This window comes from Homo sapiens, chromosome 9 (genome assembly GCF_000001405.40).
Source record: "Homo sapiens chromosome 9, GRCh38.p14 Primary Assembly".
Classification (NCBI taxonomy): domain Eukaryota; kingdom Metazoa; phylum Chordata; class Mammalia; order Primates; family Hominidae; genus Homo; species Homo sapiens.
In genome coordinates, this window is record NC_000009.12 from 120,429,206 (window position 1) to 120,449,186 (window position 19,981).

Genomic DNA, 19,981 nt, shown 5'->3' on the forward strand with positions numbered 1-19,981 from the left:
GGATGCCCTCTCTCACCACTCCTATTCAACATAGTGTTGGAAGTTCTGGCCAGGGCAATTAGGCAGGAGAAGGAAATAAAGGGTATTCAATTAGGAAAAGAGGAAGTCAAATTGTCCCTGTTTGCAGATGACATGATTGTATATCTAGAAAACCCCATTGTCTCAGCCCAAAATTTCCTTAAGCTGATAAGCAACTTCAGCAAAGTCTCAGGATACAAAATCGATGTACAAAAATCACAAGCATTCTTATACACCAATAACAGACAAACAGAGAGCCAAATCATGAGTGAACTCCCATTCACAACTGCTTCAAAGAGAATAAAATACTTAGGAATTCAACTTACAAGGGACGTGAAGGACCTCTTCAAGGAGAACTACAAACCACTGCTCAATGAAATAAAAGAGGATACAAACAAATGGAAGAACATTCCATGCTCATGGGTAGGAAGAATCAATATTGTGAAAATGGCCATACTGCTCAAGGTAATTTATAGATTCAATGCCATCCCCATCAAGCTACCAATGACTTTCTTCACAGAACTGGAAAAAATGATTTTAAAGTTCATATGGAACCAAAAAAGAGCCCGCATCGCCAAGTCAATCCTAAGCCAAAAGAACAAAGCTGGAGGCATCACACTACCTGACTTCAAACTATACTACAAGGCTACAGTAACCAAAACAGCATGGTACTGGCACCAAAAGAGAGATACAGATCAATGGGAACAGAACAGAGCCCTCAGAAATAATGCCGCATATCTACAACTATCTGATCTTTGACAAACCTGAGAAAAACAAGCAATGGGGAAAGGATTCCCTATTTAATAAATGGTGTTGGCAAAACTGGCTAGCCATATGTAGAAAGCTGAAACTGGATCCCTTCCTTACACCTTATACAAAAATTAATTCAAGATGGATTAAAGACTTAAATGTTAGACCTAAAACCATAAAAACCCTAGAAGAAAACCTAGGCATTACTATTCAGGACATAGGCATGGGCAAGGACTTCATGTCTAAAACACCAAAAGCAATGGCAACAAAAGCCAAAATTGACAAATGGGATCTAATTAAACTCAAGAGCTTCTGCACAGCTAAAGAAACTACCATCAGAGTGAACAGGCAACCTACAAAATGGGAGAAAATTTTTGCAACCTACTCATCTGACAAAGGGCTAATATCCAGAATCTACAATGAACTCAAACAAATTTACAAGAAAAAAACAAACAACCCCATCAAAAAGTGGGCGAAGGATATGAACAGACACTTCTCAAAAGAAGACATTTATGCAGCCAAAAGACACATGAAAAAATGCTCATCATCACTGGCCATCAGAGAAATGCAAATCAAAACCACAATGAGATACCATCTCACACCAGTTACAATGGCAATCATTAAAAAGTCAGGAAACAACAGGTGCTAGAGAGGATGTGGAGAAATAGGAACACTTTTACACTGTTGGTGGGACTGTAAACTAGTTCAACCATTGTGGAAGTCAGTGTGGCGATTCCTCAGGGATCTAGAACTAGAAATACCATTTGACCCAGCCATCCCATTACTGGGTATATACCCAAAGGACTATAAATCATGCTGCTATAAAGACACATGCACACATATGTTTACTGCGGCACTATTCACAATAGCAAAGACTTGGAACCAACCCAAATGTCCAACAATGATAGACTGGAGTAAGAAAATGTGGCACATATACACCATGGAATACTAGGCAGCCATAAAAAATGATGAGTTCATGTCCTTTGTAGGGACATGGATGAAATTGGAAATCATCATTCTCAGTAAAGTATCACAAGGACAAAAAACCAAACACCGCATGTTCTCACTCATAGATGGGAATTGAACAATGAGAACACGTGGACACAGGAAAGGGAACATCACACTCTGGGGACTGTTGTGGGGTGAGGGGAAGGGGGAGGGATAGCATTAGGAGATACACCTAATGCTAAATGACGAGTTAATGGGTGCAGCACACCAGCATGGCACATGTATACATATGTAACTAACCTGCACATTGCGCACATGTACCCTAAAACTTAAAGTATAATAATAAGAAGAAGAAGAAATGTTTGACCAGTTAATCCAATTTGATAGGAGTGTGAAAAGCACGATATCATGGTGGTTAGGAGGGTAGACTGTGAAAGTGAACTACATGGACTCAAATTCAGACTCTGTCACTTCCTGTCTGACTTAGACCAAGTGAATGAACCTCTCCGTTCCTCACTTGTTAATAAATGAGGATAATAAATAATACTTCCTCTTAGGCTGAGAACAATGCCTGGCATATTGCAAGCACCCAATAAAGATCAGTCTTTCTCACTTCCTCATTGTTTCTCCTTCAACTTCTTCATATCATCATCATCATCAGAGGGTGGTGGGCTGGCAAAGGCCCCTGGCAAAGGCCCCCTCCAGACTGTGGAAGGCCTTGAGAAGAAACCAATGTTTCAGGTTCACTTCTTTCAGCAGAGAACTAAGGCAAAGGATTCCAGGAGCTATCTTTGTTCATGTGGTGAGCTCACTGATCAAACTGTCTTCTTTGTACCTTTCCCAGTGTCAAACACAGCTTACTCAAAAATACCTACAGACAAAATACCACCTGCCTTATTCATACAACTGCTCTTGGGAGGCACCAAGAACAAGGATACAGTGGAAACTCTGGCTGCAACACCAGTTCCTGATCTATTTTGATCCCAGCCCTCTTGGGAATCTAAGTTATAGACCCTCACCCCAGAAAAATGTACATTGCAGGTTTCCAGATCCCTAGTGGAATCCCTAGTTTAATGGAGCCAAGGGAGAGTCCCCTTATAAGCATTAAGAAACAACGCTACCATCCTACTTCTTGGAGCCTACCAACCAAACATTATTAAAGAAATAGCAAGGATATGCACAAAGATTCCAGTACAGTGTTCTTTATAATAGCCCCAAAATGGGAACAATCTGAATGTTCATCTAATGGGGAATTATTAAATAAATTATGGTACATTTATACAAAAGAATGCCCTGCAGCCACTAAAACTTACAATGTATACTTATTATCTATAACTGAACAAAGGGAGAGGATGCAAACAGTCCCATTTCCATAAAAAATACACATATGAATAAAAAAGGTCTGGGCATATATACTCCAGGGTATTCACACTTTGTTGTGTGATGCAACTATAGGAGTATTTGCTTATCTTTTATTCCACAGTAAACATGTATTGCTTTGTATTAATTTTTTTAAAGGCTATATTTAAATTTTTAAGAACTCATGCTATATGACTGCCTCGAATATAAAACTGTTTTATGATAAGCTTGTTTCATAATTCAAGAGCCAGACCCCTTATATGAATCCAAGAAAGAGCTACCTCTGTGTTACATTTTAGTCCCCAAGAAAAGGAGCTGTGGTGAGGTTTCTGGGACTTTTATGCTTTTTGTAGGAGAAAATCAAGTTCTATGTTTGTGTTATCTGCTAAGTCTAAAATGCTTCGTCTGCCTGCAGAACCCACAAAGAATAAGTAGGCTCTCCTTGGGTGTGTCAAGGTAAATAACTAAAAAATAAACCAAGGGGAGTGGCTAGATGAAGGAAGGAGGGCAGCTGGTGCCAGAGGCACCCACTCTCAGCTCTCCACTTCCTAGGGCCTAGAGTGAGAGCCTTCAAGAAGAGGCCGACAGAAAATGACTTGGGCCTGGAAGATACGGCTTTATCATGAGGACCCAGATAGTTCTCCACTAATAAAATGAAAACTAGCTTATTTAGAATACCCTTAGCTACAAGGAAGTAGGTTTTCATAAAGCTGGGAAAAGTCAGGTACTCCTATATACCCTGGTCCTCAAAAGTCCTGGGAACCGGTATTAGCAAAACCAGTCTACAGCAGGTCTAAGCTGCTGGGCCCTTCGCAAAAGCTGGGGGAAAACATTCACTAGGCCCAGATGGGTAAACTATCCCATGTTCTATCCTGGAATTAAATGAACTATGTGGGCCATCATAAACCATCTATTTTGTACATATGAAGACAAGAGGAACAGAGTTAAATCCTGGTTCCGCCAAGTCAGTTGTGACTTTGAACAACAAACTCTTATTTGTTAAGTCTAAGTTCCTCACCTGAAAAACAGGCTGTTCTGAGGATTAAGCCCCAACTCACAGCAAGTACAAATACTAATAAGCACTCAGTACGTAAGAACCATGCACCCAGCACTGAGCCAAGCAAGGCTTCACATCCATAATTTAATTCTTACAAAGGCTCCACCAATTAGGTATTAGAATGCTAAGTTTACAGGTGAAAGAAGAAACTGAGGCAAGGAATTAAGTAAATTTCCCAAGGTACACAGCTTACGAGTGGGAAACCAGAGCTCTAATCTGGCCAGCCCAGCTCCAATGACTGCATTCTTCACTACTAGGCCCATTTATTTAAATATGTAAGGTTATTTCTCTATGCCTCAGTTCATCATCTATAAAACTGAACTAATACATTGTGCTTCCAAGGTCATTGTGAAGTTTAAATCAAATAACCTATATGATACCAACTATAATACAAGTAGCTCTAGTAGGAAAAGTTTTTTGTCCAGAGACCTGATTTAAAATCCCAGCTCTGCCATTCACTCCACAAATGGTCACAGATGAGTTGCTTACTCTCACTGGGCCACACTCTCCACAGCTGTAACACTAGATTCACTGACTCACTCACTCATTTATTCATTCTCTCAAAATATGTGTTACGTGTCCACCATACATCAAACGTTATCTATATCCTAGCACTACAGCAACAAACACAACAGACAAGATCCATGCACCCTTGTAGGGCTTACTTTCTACAGGGAAGGCAGAATAAAAAACATATAACATGCAAGATGGTTAAGATGGTTACGGGTAGTAAACACATAACATGCGAGATGGTTGTGGGTAGAACCGAGGAAAATAACACAGGGTAAGGGAAAAAGGGAATGTCAGTGATAGGCAGGGGTGCCTTGCTATTTCATAAAGAGCTGTCAAAGAGCACCTCGTTAATATGATGACATTTGAGACAAGGCCTGAAGGGATCAGGGACACCAGACAGAAGAGAAAGTGCAAAGCCCCTGAAGGAGGAGCTGGCCTGGGCATGCTAGAAAAACTGCAGGGTCAGTAGCTGGGGAGGGGAAGCAGGAGAGGGTGGGGCGGCAGAAGTAAGGAGAGAGTGCAGCCAGGGCGATGGTACAGGGCTTTGCAGGCCCTTATCTGGACTTTTACACTGAATGAAAAGGAAAGGCTTTGATTTGGGGGCAGAGATGGGACATGATCTGACTTACATTTTTAAAAGATCACTGATTATTGTGTGGAAAATGCACTACAGTGAGACAAGGATGGAAGCCCAGAGGCCAAACAGGAGAGGCCTGCAGCATCCAGGTGAGAGAAGAGAGGCGAGCTGAAGCGGTGGCAGCAATAATTGGTGGTGAGGACTGGTCAGGGATGGAAGACGTGCAGAAGGCGGGGCTGCACAGAGGCAGCCAGGGAGGGAGAGGAGAACTGAACTCTCAGTGGCATCGTCTGGAAGCCAAGTCAGCCAAGGAGGGAGGGATCAACACGTCAAATACTGCTGCAGTCTGAGCAAGATGAAGACTGAAAACTGATCCTTGGATTTGGCAAAGTGGAAGTTGTTAGTGTCAGGCAAACTGTTTCAGTGGAGGGGTTGAGATAACTCAGAGTCCAGTCCCAATGGGTTTAAGAGAGAAAGGGGAATGGAAAGCAATACTACTGGAGATAAGGGAAAAGGAGAAAAATAATGACTTCACACAGCAATTTAAAAGGATACAGTTTTGACTCTGGAATCATGCTAATGTTATACATATTCAAAAAATTAAATCAATAAAAATAGGGTAGAAAACTCTAAAATTGAATACAAATAAAAACAAATGAATCTAATTGTGTTTCAAATGACTAACCCAACAACAGCTGTACAAAGAATGAAACCAAACAACTTTTAAATTCAAGAACATACTATAATGTATTTTTAGCCTAAAAACAAAGAGAACTACTTTAATAAACAAATCTTAAACTCTTCCAGTGGGTTTGTTTTTCACAGTGGAAAGGGTGGAGTAATTCTGGAACTATGTGTATATATTACAGAACTGAGTAAATCAGCAGATATGGTGATGTTGTCAGAGCCAGGGTTCTTAGTGTTGGAGAAGGGAAGTAAAAATGTGGAAGCGGGAAAAACAGGAAAGAACCCAGTGAGTCTGGACTGGAATTAAAGGCACCATTGTGAAGTAATGATTTTTTTAAAAAATAAATTACACATTTACACACACACACACACACACACACACACACACGCCTGCTAAAGGGCCTAGACACAATGATACCCTCGTAGCAATGAACACACCTAGCACCAAATCTTGGTGGTTAAATATCATTCCTCACTAAAAGGAATCAAGGCTCTTGGAGAAATGGCTCATTCAGGGCAGAAGCAGTACAGGATGAGCATGGAAAATCTATTTTGTCCCAGAAAGTAAGGACGTACTCCCAAAAAGATGGAGACATGTCAAAAGAAACTGCCACTTACCAAATCTGGGACAATATAATATGAATGTCAGAATGGATAATAGTCCATTGAATAAAATAAGAATCTTTAAGCCCACACTGATCATAAACAAACAAGAAATATAGTAATAAAAGGAATTAATAGAGAATGCATTCTTCTAGTACATGCCACCTAATATAAATGAAGAAGGAATGTGATTAAAAAATGTTAGTGTTAGAAAAAAACTGTCATAGGAACATTTGACTCAGACAAGAATCATCAATATATGGTAAAACTCATGGTAGAAGTTTGAAGAGGAAGAGAATACTTACAGAATAACAAAGTATCTTCTACAAATTATTCATTACACAGGTTAATATAATTTACACTGGAGAAAACTGACAGACATTACCTTAAGGAAGTGATCAAAGTTAATATCACCAAAAACGGGATTAATATTGTGTGCCTCCTTAAGAAAACACCATAAGAACAAAATAATCTCTTATGCAGCATTCCTGCCAAAACTGCATAGCCAATCTAATCTAACCAATTTAATCTAATCATGAATTGAGTCTTGCGGAAAGAACAGATAATCCCAAAGCGAGGGGCTAGCCTGAACTATTGAAGTATGTTCACATCACGAAAAGAAGAAAGGGTGAGGAACTACTCCGGATTAAAGGAGACGAGAGACACATGACAACTAAATGTAACGTGGAGACTGGATCCCGGACCAGGATCAGGATCCAGAATAAACTGTCATAAAAGACATTATTGAATTAATTATAAAAATTCAAATATAGGCTGTATATTAGATAATAGTATATTAGACAACACCTTTTCTGATTGTGATAACAATACCATGGTTATGCACGAGAATTTCCTTGGTCTGAGGAACCACACCCTGAATTATCTAGGGAGAAAGGAACATCATAGCATCAATCCACTCTCATAGAGCTCAGAAAGATAATAATAGAGCGCGTGTGTGTACAGACAGGGAAAGATAAAACAAATGTGGCAAATGCTAACAACTGATGAAGCTGGGTGCACAGTAAATGGGAGTTCTTTGCTGTAGTCTCAAAAAAAAATTATTTTAAAAATTTTACCTAGCACATAGCAAAGGTTTCTTTCACCCTTCCTCTGGCCATCCTTAACTCTTCGATATACTTTTTAACTGATAAAAATTTTGCTTGGTTGACTGGATTTTTTGCTTGCCAACATTTAAAACACATGAGTTTTCACAAAAAAAAATAAATAAATAAAAAATCCCATCTTTTCTGGAAAATTTGTAAGATGCAAGAACTGGCAACTACGTGACCACTGCTGAGTGAGAGGCAGTGCCTTCTGGCTGGCTTCACTCATGTACCTCACCAGCCCGGCCCCTGAGGCGTCTAAACTGGACTCCTGGTTTGTAACAGTGCCGACCACAAGCCATGTGGAAGTGGTCACTGGGAGGAAGCAGCAGCCAGTGTGGTTCTGCTGTCACCTCATCAAGGCAGAGGGGTGAAAGATAACTAAGGCCAAGGAGTTAGCTCCTCCTGTGCCCCTCCAAGAAGTCCTGGGTCAATTACTGATGTCTTAAGACTCGCGTACCTCACCCTACCTACCGTTGAGAAATAGCTTTTCCAATTTCTCCAGCAGCTCAGCACATTGATTCAGCTGTTCCTGGAAACCCTCGGCCACACAGTAATCCACATCACTGGCCTGCAGCAACTCCTCAAATGCCTTAATCATGGTGTTCATGTGTTGACGGGAGATGACACAGATGCCATGGCCATCCTTAATCTGCTGCCGTTGAAGGGAGAGCTCCCTGGCTTGGGACTGAACTAATGAATCGTATCTGATAAAAGAGGGGAAAGAAAATACTTGGACCATTTTAGAATTGAATTTTTGTGACCTTAACACTAATTGGAAAAATGACAGAGTACAATTTTTAAAAGCCTGCAGCTGTACAAGTATATATACTTTTAGAAAAATTGAAACTGTACAAGGTCAGCTCTTCTTTGATTTCACACAGCCAACAAAGGCTGGAACAAAGATTCTTCTGCAACATTTTTAACCTTATAAAGCCCCCAATTAAAGTACAGATTGGCAAGAACTCAGGCAAACAATAAGTTTCCATACACTCTTCAAAAATACTATTCTGAATTGTAGAAACAAGTGCCCCAAGGGTCAGAGGATCTACCAAAAATTCTCATGAAGTGTGATAAAGAAAGTGTACCACAAAGAAAAAAAGACAGGACTCTCTCCTCCCGAACAAAACGTCACTGAATAATCATGATGCTAACTACCATTTACTGAGGGTCTAGGACCTGTCAGTAACTGAATTCAGTGCTTTATATGTTATCTGATCCTCTCAGTCTTCCAACAAATGTATAAATGTCCCCTTTTACAGAAGAATAAACTGACTGCAAAGCTAATTAAGTGGTAAAGATTTTGGATTCAAACACAATTCTCACTTTGAAGATCATTATGCAATATTACCTTTTTACCGTCATGTGCCACCTTTTCCTACGTGAGCCCATAAGAGAAAGACACTGAGAAGTAAACAGGTTAAGGGAAATGTGACTCATGTAAACTGGCCACAATAACCTTGCTCCAGAGAGTAGCTTGGCAAAGATGTTGACACTTCAGTTCAACATAATTTTCTCCTTCCTGGAAATGACAACACTACATGGGCTGGCAGTCACCTTCAACATAGAGTGTGCACATGCAGATTACATGATACCAGCATTAAAGGTGGGGGCCAGTATCATGTGAGTACTGGAGTAACATGGGTAAACATGGGTAACTCATGAGTAACATGAGTAAACATGGGTACTGGAGTGGGATGATGTGGGCTTGAACCCTGGCAATGGCTCTGACCAGCTCTGTGAATGTTCTCTGCCAAGTCACTGCAGCTACTTTGAGGCTCAGTTTCCCTACCTGTAATAACTAGTTTAAGAATACCTCCTTCTCAGGTGATTTTGAGGATTAGATAAGAAAAGTGCCTAACCAGGGGCCTGAGACAACAGCCTTTCAATAATTACAAGCTTCCTTCAATCTCACTGCTTGGGAAGTCTTGAAAAATTCATCCTGGCTCCTGACAATTCAGAACAATGTGTTTGACTCAAATTAGTGACAAATGAAGGTCAACTTTACTAATGATCCCATTTTTGCCATATCTCATGAAGCAAAACCGTATATATCTATGCCCATAAAGCATTATCTTCATGACCTAAGAATTCTTCTCTTTCAACACAAGCTTATTTCTCTAAGATGACCTTAAAGGGTAAAGATATGGAAAATATTTATATTCCTCCTACCTTGCCTAGACATCAGTTTTAGTTTCACAGCACAGCAAAAGCCAGTAACAGAGTCCAGGAGTACACACTGCAGTTCAGCAAAGGCACTATCACTCACCAAGTGACTGGTATGAAACCTTTACCCTGAGCCCCCAACTTGAGGAGGGCGAAATCTGCCCTGCAGATTTCCAGAGGACCCAAGACTCGTAACTGACGTTCAAGTGCGTGGTCGCTGTTCCTCTTCTTTGTGGCCTCACCTCTCCCTTCTCCACAGGACCTGGCTGCCTGAACCCCACCATCAAGCCTTCCCCAGAACACACTCTACCCATCACAGAGTAGTGTTCTCTTTTAGCTCATGGGCTCCCACCTAGTGGCAATACTGGGGGACTACAGGCTTAAACGGGGAGACGGCAGAGGTGGAACGTACCTGGGAGGTGAGAGATCTCTGAACTTATTCTGCAGATTATGGATCTCACTGAAAAGTTGCATGTTCAAATTCTGCTCCTTCTGCAGCTTGTATTCCTGTTCCTCCAGCTGCTGTTTGAGGTTCTCCAGCACCCTGCTGTCAATCATCTCTGGGGCCAGCGGACCGAGGATTTTCACGTGTTTCACGTATCGCACTTGGTGCAAACTTGAAAAGGTCATTTCTTCCCCATCAGAACCATTCTTGGGCTTGCTCAAGCCATCCTGGGCCCCTTCTGTCCCACACAAAACTGTAATTATGGCCTCACTGCACTGGGAGTGCTTTTGAAGCTGAAATATGAAATTCTGGTAGCCTTCCAGCTCAGTTTCCAAGTCATGGATTTTCTGTTTTAAGTATTCTGTCTCATTTGAGGTATTAATGCTCTCTGACTGATCAGTCCCCATCACACTGACTTTAGCAGAAGGCTGACTCTTGGAACTCAGGTAAGTAGCTACTGAAGTTGGGCTCAGAACATCTTCAGGATTTTCTTTGCATGATGGCAAGCTGGCAAGGTCATCAGGTGGGCAAATCTCAGAGTCTGAAAATCAAATACACTTATGTCAGTATCTCTTTTACTAAAATCCAAACCCTCTCTCCTTCCTCACAGCCCTAGCCAAGCCAAGACCACTGCAGTGACCTAACAAGCCTCCCTCAAAAAGGCCCTAGTATTTCCTAACACACTTCCCTCAAAAAGCCTCCAGTCTTTCCTAACAAGCCTCCCTCAAAAAGCCCTAGTCTTTCCCTCTTTACCCCTCAGTTGTCCTCTTCCTCAGAGTGACTGTTCTAAAAAGTAATTTTAACCATGATAAACCCACACACACACCCCCTAAAATTCATCGACATTCCCAGTATCTACATGAGACCTTCCATGATCTAGTTCCAGGCAACCTTTCCAGGAATATCTCTGGCACCACTCTGGAGATTTCCTACAAAATTAACCATGATTCCCTGCACATTGCGTGCTGTGTCATGCCTCCATGCTTTTGCATGGGCCGTGCCCTCTGCCTGGAACACCTTCAGCCCTCTATTCTACTCCTACCTAATGAACTCTTTCCATACCCAGATCTAATTTTCCTTCCTCTGCAAGCCCACTGCCAAACTATGCAAAAGTCACAACTCGCTGTGGTTCTGTAGCACCTTATGCATATTACTCAAGACAAATATACTATGTGCTGGGTGCTAAAGTAAAAATTTTAAGTGGCTTATTTATTGATTCACATAGCAATTCGTCATCTGAATGTAGCTCTCCCTCACCAGACTGCACGTTTCTTCACAGCAGAGATGTGGCCTTTCATTTTCACATTCTCGGCGTCTAGTACAGAACCTAACCCAGACCAGAAGTCAGTGCCAGTGTGAGAAATATTGAGAGATTCTGTGAAGCAACAGTAAAGAGTGGTAATTCTGAATATCCACAACACGTGACAGTCTTCTCATTTCCATGTCTAATGGCTTCCAGGAGATGCCCTGACATCCCCTTTAGTGAGGTGTTTCACTCACTCACAACACTGCCAGGAAATATTTCCTTATAGCTAGTAATAGCTAAACCCTTAGAGATGCAGTCAAACTTGTTTCAGAAGTGGAGTAGTACAGCAGAAAGAATATGAAGTTTGAAGGCCACACAGCCTGAGGCAAGTGACTTTACTATCCAAGAGCCTCAGTTTCCCCTGTGTCTAAAATGTAGAAAGAGATGTCTCATATGGTTGTAGTGCAGCTTCTGTTCTTAACCACTGTGCCACACTGCTGGCTGCCCAGGGAAAGTTCCGTTCAATATAGAGAGCTGTCTGAATACTTAAGGGGCAGCGGAATGTAGTAGAAAAACCTGTCTTTGAAATTCAACAGACATGGTTTCAAACTCTGGCTCTGTCACATAGGCAAGTTACTTGACCTCTCTGAGCTTTAGTAGCTTTATCTGTAAAATGGAAAGAACATCACTGAAAAGTTGTGTGTGTGTGTTTGTTTTTAGGGATTATATGGAACAAAATCTGCAAAAAGAAAAAAAAGGCTAGCACAGTGTCTGGCACATAGTAGTGAAGGAATCCAAGTAACACAAACATCCTCTAACCATTCCAAGATAGAAGGAGATGCCCTTCACCGGAGGCGTGCGTGCGAAGGCCAGCCTGGAAAAATGCTACAAAAGCAACAACGTGGGTTGGACTGGGTGACCTAGGAGATCTCTCAGAAAGAAATTCACACACAAATCCTCATCAGACTGCATGTCCCAATTTCTGGTTCTGCAATCTGCTCCTTGTGACTTGAGGTACACTCTTGTATCTGTTCATGATGCAAATACCATAAAGTATGGCATTTCATTTCAGAAAGCAGCTGCTACCTGACCTAAAGGAAGCATTCCTAATACAGTATTTTTATTATACACAATGTTATGATAATTACTCAATAAGAGCCTTGAGGGTGCAGACCGTGTCATCCATGTCTGTTTCTCCAGTATCTAGCACAGGGTCTGCGACAGAGAATGTACTCACCAAGTATTTCTGGCTGAACAAGAAAGAGAAAGAGGAACTGGGGAGGGAGATATCTCTCCATAAGGCTTTTTTTCCAGTGAATCACCCTCCAAGACAAGAAAATATCTTTGCTGTAATAACCTCATGATAATAGAATTTGGTCTGTACTTCATGGCAAGAAGCGTGTTCACTCATGGAAATAAAGATTAGTTCCCAGGACTTTCCTTAAGTAATTATGAGGCATCACTAGTACCCCCATTTTACAGAAGAGGAAGTTGAGGCTTAGGGAGCTTAAGAATTTGCTTAGGGTTCAGGGTAGGTAAGCAGTAGAGCCCCTCCTCAAAGCCTGGCAGTCTGCCTCTAACACTCTGAATGATGCTTCCCGAAGTAACACTCCTGCAATCCAATCTCCTGTACCGCGGTGCATGAGCAAAGAGAGAGAGAGTTCTTAACCCTCAATGTGAAGGCCAAGATGCCTGTAAAATCCTTTATTCACATCCCAAGTATCTGTCAAGGGCCTTGTGAAAAAGAAACAGCAATGAAGATGTCACACGCAGCACCCAGCCTCAGCTGCGCAACAATTAAAAGGTGGAAGTTCAGGCAGATGCAATTCACATACAAAGTTCTGGAAGCACATTCAGAAAAATGAAAGACATTCAGTAATGAAGGGAAGTACTGACAGGGAAAGGGAAGCTGTCGATTAGTTAAGAAGTCTGTATTAATAACTATCAAGAAGAAATCAAAAGATGTCCCCAAGACCATTTATGAATATTTGCATTATAAGAAATACTATAGTTCTACAACTTTCCACAATTCAGCTAAGGGGGACTTTATTGCCTGGTAGAGTAGCTTTCTCCTCAAAGCCCAGAACACGCAGAAGCATGTGACCATGTGTTCACTGCAGTGACTCTGGACCTTGCAAAAGTATACAACAGTGTATATACCACAACTCAGTATTTTTCCAGAGACTGGTGTCCCCATGGCCATCCCATGACAAATTTAGGATTCTTGAGGACAATTATTTCTAACAGAGTGAATTAGATCTGGATTAATAGTGATTTTTTTTAATGAAGGGGGAAAAATATCTAACATAAAAAGAATGTAGGCATTTGTTCATTCTGGTTGAATGAGAACATGAGTATTTGTTATATTATCTTTTGTGCTTATGTATGCTTCTAATACTTCATAATTTTAAAAAGAAAGGAATACAACTTGCCTCTGCCCTCACCCGTATCTCTGCACCTTTTCCACTGATCTGCCTGGCAAACCCCACAAACCCAGTCTCAGCCTCAGGCTCTCTTCTGACCCACTCCTCCTGGGCACACGGACCAACACCAAGCACACCTCAGCAACAGGCAGCCCCGCGCTGAATACTAACAGGCTGTTGGGATGATTGTCTCCTCCGAGCTGTGGGGTCCCTAAGAGCAGGCTGTGTCTTTTCATGTTGAACCACCAGAACCCAGCCCACTGCCTGGTAGAGAAGCATGCTGACACATGGACGGGTGGGTTCTGACATCCTACTGTACCTTGACTCTTCTCCTACTTACCAGCTGGGTGACCCTGGGTCAATTATTTCTTAAAACCTCAGCTTCCCATGTGTTAGACTGGAATGATAATAATGCCCTGAGAGGGCTGCTATGGGCTTAGTAATAATTTTTAGATAAAACATCCAAATGGTGCCTGGCACATGGAAGCTGTTCAATACACACAGGGGCTGAATTCTGACCAATCTCGTAGCTTCTTTGCTGATCACTGTCCATTTCCTTGTCTCTCCAGACAGAAGATGTGGTTTTAATTCCTTTCTGCTCTCCTGGGCTGTCCTGGTAGGCTGCTCCCACAGGGGGCTGAGCTACAGGCAATCACAAAGAGAAAGAAAAATAAATAAAACCGTAAGACCTGAAACTTAGCCAAGCAACTGAGAAGAACACAAAGATACAACAGGGAAAATAAAAACACTGGGGAGGCAAAATGCAATTTATAAGATAAAATTAATCTATCGAGCTGCCATAACAGGACATAAAAAGCATAAATATACTGCAGCTTGTCTGAAATGGTTTAAGTCCAGGCTCTCAAAAAGCTGAGTGAGAAAATGAATTCTATCAATTCGTGCCCATTTTTCCCAAGAAGAGAGAGGCCCTAGGGTCTCCTGGGCAACTGTTTGAGGTAGCACCTGGAGTTGAGGCACTCTGGTGTCTCAGCAAAAAATAAAAACAGTATTGAGTGCAAATGGCAAGCTAGGAGCCAGCATGGTGGCTCATGCCTATAATCCCAGCACTTCGGGAGGCCGAGGCAGGGGGGCCACTTGAGGCCAGGAGTTCAAGACCAGCCTGGGCAATATAGCAAGACCCCCATCTCTACAAAATATAAAAAATTTAAATTTGAATTTTAAAAAATGGCAAGCTATGGGCAAAGTGCCAGGGCCTCTGTTGAGCTGAGTTACCTTTGCCATAAAATCTTTCCTCCATGAAGGTCCCCACAACCCTGTATTGATTTAGTTAACTGCCACCTCCCCAAGCCCACACCAGATGGGGAGTTCTCAGAAGGCAGAGACTGCATCTGATTTATTTCTCTCCTACCCCCAGTGCATGAGGCTGGAAACATAGCAGGTGCTCAGGGAATGTTCACTGAATGAATGAAAAGATGTCTGGATGATGGTTGAATGGATTAGAAGAAGGTAGATAAGGAGGTGGTAAGGGAAGAGCAATTCTGCCAAAGGTCTTCTTATCTGGAAACCTCAACTATGGTAAACCCAAAAGAAAACTTAAAATTAAATGGAACATACCTTTGGCTATGGATCTTCATAAAATCCATACAAGAAGTATCACATACTAGGCTTTGTGAAACAGTAAAGAACATGGACTTTGAAATTAGGCAGGCTGATTCCCACCTAGCTAGAAAAGTTAGTCACAGTGTGACTGTAGCCAAGTCACTTTATCTCTGAAACTGCTGCCTTAACTATAAGATGGTAGTAATTTCTGTATCTGCCTCAAAGGACTGTTGAGAGAACCCAATTAGATCATGTACTTAGAGTGTATAGCAAGACTCAGTAAATAATAGGTGCTTGTTTTATTAATACCACAGTATGTCCAAGACTCCAGAGTCATCTCCAATCCCTGACCCACTCTGGAAATCCTCTAATCTGATGCAACCTCCTGCCCTGGTACTCATTTCCTTCGTTGGCAAGTCCCAAAGAGCATCAATATCCTCTCTGAACATTCATCTCTCCCCATCACTCTAAGTGAACTTGGGATGACCCCAAGGACACTGCTTCTCCCGCAGCCTTCAAAGTTGTGGTCATTTCTTTCCCATAGCTCTCATATCATGGGCCCAAAGTGTGTAAGTGTCTTTGCTCCTCGCTGCCACTTCTACATCATTCTCTCTCTTACCTGAAAATTCCACTTTTGCAGCTCATGCTTCCAGAAGATACCACCAACGACCCCACTTTACTGTAATCATCCATGGTCCCCTGATTCACTGAATCCCTTGAGGTTCGGTGACAATGTGGCTCCTAACTGCCTTCCTTCTCTACATTGCTTTACGGTATAATTCCTCAGGGCTGTCCATGCTTGCTGTCTCCAATCTCTCTCCTCCATTCTCTCTCTGCAACCCATGCCAATCACGCTGCACCCACTCCACGGAAACAGCTCCCTTCAAGTACACCAATGACTTCCACATTGTTAAATCCCAAAGCCAATCCTCAGTCCTTGTCTTACCAGATAGCAATATCTGACACTGCTAATCCCCTCCTTACTCAGCTTCTGGGGAGTCACCCTCTCTTGGATCCCTCCTACCTCACTGGCTGGTCTTCTTGGTCCAACCTTTAACCACTAGAGAGCCTCAGTTTCAATTCCTGGACCTGGTTGCTATGGCTCCAAGTCATATAGCTTCAAATATTACCAAAATATTGCTATTTCCTAACTTTGTATCTCTAATCCAGACCTCTACCCTTGACTCCAGACTCATCTGTCTTTAATTGCCTATCTAATTATCTCCACCGGAATGGTCAACAGGCATCTCGAGTATGTCCAAACCAGACCCCTAATGTCTCCCTCATGCTTGCCTCTCATGCAGTCTTCAGTCTTTCTCATCTCAGTGAATGACAACTCCATCCTTCCAAAGGTTCATATCCAAAGTGATCCTTTAAAGCAGAGGTTGGACTACCTTTCTTAAAGTCAAATAATAAATACTTTAGGCTTTGCAGGCCATAGAGTCTCTATGGTAACTACTCAATTCTGCCATCAAAGCACAAAAGCAAACAGAGACAATATGCAAACAAATGGGTGTGGCTGTGTTTCAATAAAATTTTATTTCCAAAAACAGGAAGTGAACTGGATTTGGCCCACAGGCTGTGGTTTGTCAACTCCTACTTTTTTTTTTTGAGATGGAGTTTCGCTCTTGTGTCTGCTCACTGCAACCTCCACCTCGTGGGTTCAAGCAATTCCCCTGCTTCAGCCTACTGAGGAGCTGGGATTACAGGCACGCGCCACCATGCCTGGCTAATTTTGTATTTTTAGTAGAGATGGGGTTTCGCCACGTTGGCCAAGCTGGTCTCGAACTCCTGACCTCAGGTGATCTGCCCGCCTTGGCCTCCCAAAGTGCTGGGATTACATGTGTGAGACACCGCACTCGGCCTGTCAACTCCCACTTTAAGGCTTAAGTCAAATCACGACTCTGCTGCTCAAAACCCTCCAAAAGTTTCCAATCTTACCAAGTAAAAGAGTCCTAGAATGGCCTTTGAGAGCCTGCCTGATCTGCTGCCTCCTGGACCTCATCTTCTACATACAACTCTCCCTCTTCCTCACTCCACTCCAGTCACACAATTAGCCTCCTTACTATTCATCCATCTTCCCCTGTTCACAGCAGCACCAGGGCCTTTGCCTTCTTCCTTCTTCCCAAGATGACTAGTGCACTCATTTCCCCTGTCTCCCTTCAAATGCCACTTCACCATGGAGGCTCTCTAGCATTCATGACATAAGCAAATCCTGCCCCTCCTCCACATTCCCCACACTTGAATCCTGCTTCATTCTTTTCCACGGCATTTATTTTCTCACGTTGTACATATGCTTATCAGCTTTCTGTCTTCGCCCCGACCCTACACACACACACAAGAATGTAAGCTAGACAAAGACTTCATCTGCTTTGGTCACTCCTCTCTCCTCAGTGCCTAGAATAGTGCTTGGCACACAGAAGAAATGAATAAATAAATAAAAGATTACTTTTGTTGTTCTTGTTATGGTGCTGCTGCCATCTGCTCACAGAAGTTCAAAATTAGGAGTCAACATATGCACTTTTGTGGATCATGAGCCCTGAGAAAATGATGTAAAATGCTACTTATATGCTCAGCTGCATCATTCTGTGGGAGGGCCCTCTGCTTTCTTCAGATTCTCAAAGGGTTAGTGGTCCAAAATCTCTAAGCACCACTGTCCTAGACTAGAGGACGCCACTAGACACACTTCCTCCAAGTCTCTGGATCCTAACTATTCAGGTACATTTTAACACAGGGGCTGTTGTCTTGCCTCCCAGGAGAGCAGAGCCAGCAGGTTCAAAGAGGGTGGGGAAGTGGGTTACTTCTAGAGGAAGACGCAAGGTTAGTAAGGTTTGGAATTAGCCCCAAGTTGGCCTGGACATTACAGAGAACCCTGCAAAGTGGACCCTCACTTGCATACCTCTGATGCCACACGCCAGAGGCATCCACAGACAAAGCCAAACACAACTGGGGCATCTGCGGACAATCCTTAGTGAAGGCAGCAGTGCCCCCTCAGACCTATGAGCACTGCAAGTTCCCTTTATCCAGACTCCAGAATAAAATGAAAGCAATAGATTCATTCTCCTTATTGTGTTCCCTCTGTTGTGCATTTGTCAAGAGTCAAGATTAATCACTGCAATTCATGAAATTTATACTCAAACTTATTGCAATTCTAAACAACAAGGTTGACATTTCAAGCAGTTCTATCGAGCCGTTTGTCTAGCTCACAGGGAATACATTTTTCTTGGTGCTTACCATTCAGCAACGTTTTGTCGGGCGTTGGCCTCCCCTCCATCACTGCTTCAGCCAGAATTAACTTTTGGTGAAGTTGCTTATTACAAGTTTTAAACTCCTTCAGCTCCCCCTGCAGCTCCAAGATCTGGCTCTGCAGCTGCGTCACCACCTCCTGGGTGGCAGGGAGACGATACATATTTCCTAATGACCGGGATGGTTTTATTAGGATTGGCAAGCGGGACTTCTTAGCCTCCTGAAAACACACATATGCAACAATGAATACACTTTGAACACACTTCCTTTGGTTGCACAGTCAACATTCTCATGCCAGCCTTATAAAACGGAATTCGAACTGGCTGCCCAGACTTCTCGTTCCCATAATGGCAGCTATGCTTATCCACCAGCCAAGGAGCTTGTATCTTGGCAGGTCCCTCCTCTGATCATCAAGAGCCAAGCTTCTCCTCGCCACCCTCCTGGCCCTGGCCTATCGTCTCTCTGGACAATCCAGACACTCCATAAATGGCAGTTCTTCTTCCAACCTGATCTTCTGGGAAATGTTATTTTGCTCCTTATCTATTTCCTTGTTTCCCAAACATTCCTCAGTCTAATCTGGTCTGGCCTATCAACCCCTGCTAGTCCCCCAGAACCACCCCTTACTTTGGTGGCTACTAAGTTGCCAACCCAGCGGATATTTCCCAGGCTCAGAACTCCCAGACATCTTCATTTGTAGTGACTTACGGGCACTACAGAGTCAACTGAAAATTCTACTCTTCAGCTCCATCACCCCGTGTCTCCGCTGCAAATCTACGCCACTTCAACAATCTCTGTCTTGGTGAATCACATGACTATCCATTTACTACACAATCTAGAACCATGGCAATGATTTTTAAGTTTCCCTTTATTCTTGCCACCCACTTTCACTACTCATCAGGGTCCATTAATTATAACTCCCAGGCTGTCTCTCCATTCTTTCAACTCTTCTCATCCTCCACTGCTACCACTCAACTCCAAGATGCTGTTAGTTCTCACCTAAGTCATGGCAACAGTCTCCTGGGTGGTCTCCACACATTTACTTTTGCCCTCTCTAAGCCACTGTCCACGCTACAGCAAAAAGACAAACCTACTACTCCTCTCTTCTGCCTAAAACTATTTTAATTGCTTTCCAGTTCTATCAAGACAAAGGTCAACATCCATACCACAGCCTACAAAGTCCTGCAGGACCTACAGCCTGAGTTATACCCCCTTCCACTTCACCCTGCTCTTCAGCAACAATGACCTTGGTTCCTCAAAATGCCTTCCTTCTACCTCAGGAC

At 42.6% G+C, this 19,981-nt stretch overlaps 1 protein-coding gene across 18 annotated transcripts in view; it reads right to left on the reverse strand.

Moving 5' to 3' along the window:
* CDK5RAP2 (CDK5 regulatory subunit associated protein 2) overlaps nucleotides 1-19,981 on the reverse strand; it is a 191,293-nt gene that overhangs the window by 40,331 nt on the left and 130,981 nt on the right. For 17 of the 18 annotated variants that reach the window (NR_073558.2, NR_073556.2, NR_073554.2 and 14 more), the window contains 4 exons: nucleotides 18,690-18,921; nucleotides 14,415-14,537; nucleotides 10,194-10,767; nucleotides 8,090-8,322 (listed from right to left, as the gene is read on the reverse strand). Coding sequence is in view for 13 of the 18 variants with exons in the window: in NM_001272039.2 (NP_001258968.1) it covers nucleotides 8,090-8,322; nucleotides 10,194-10,767; nucleotides 14,415-14,537; nucleotides 18,690-18,921 (1,162 nt within the window). In the remaining 5 variants the exon portion in view is untranslated. Of the gene's footprint in view, nucleotides 1-8,089; nucleotides 8,323-10,193; nucleotides 10,768-14,414; nucleotides 14,538-18,689; nucleotides 18,922-19,981 lie in introns of those variants that run through there. The other variant, XM_047423591.1, reaches the window with a different exon arrangement.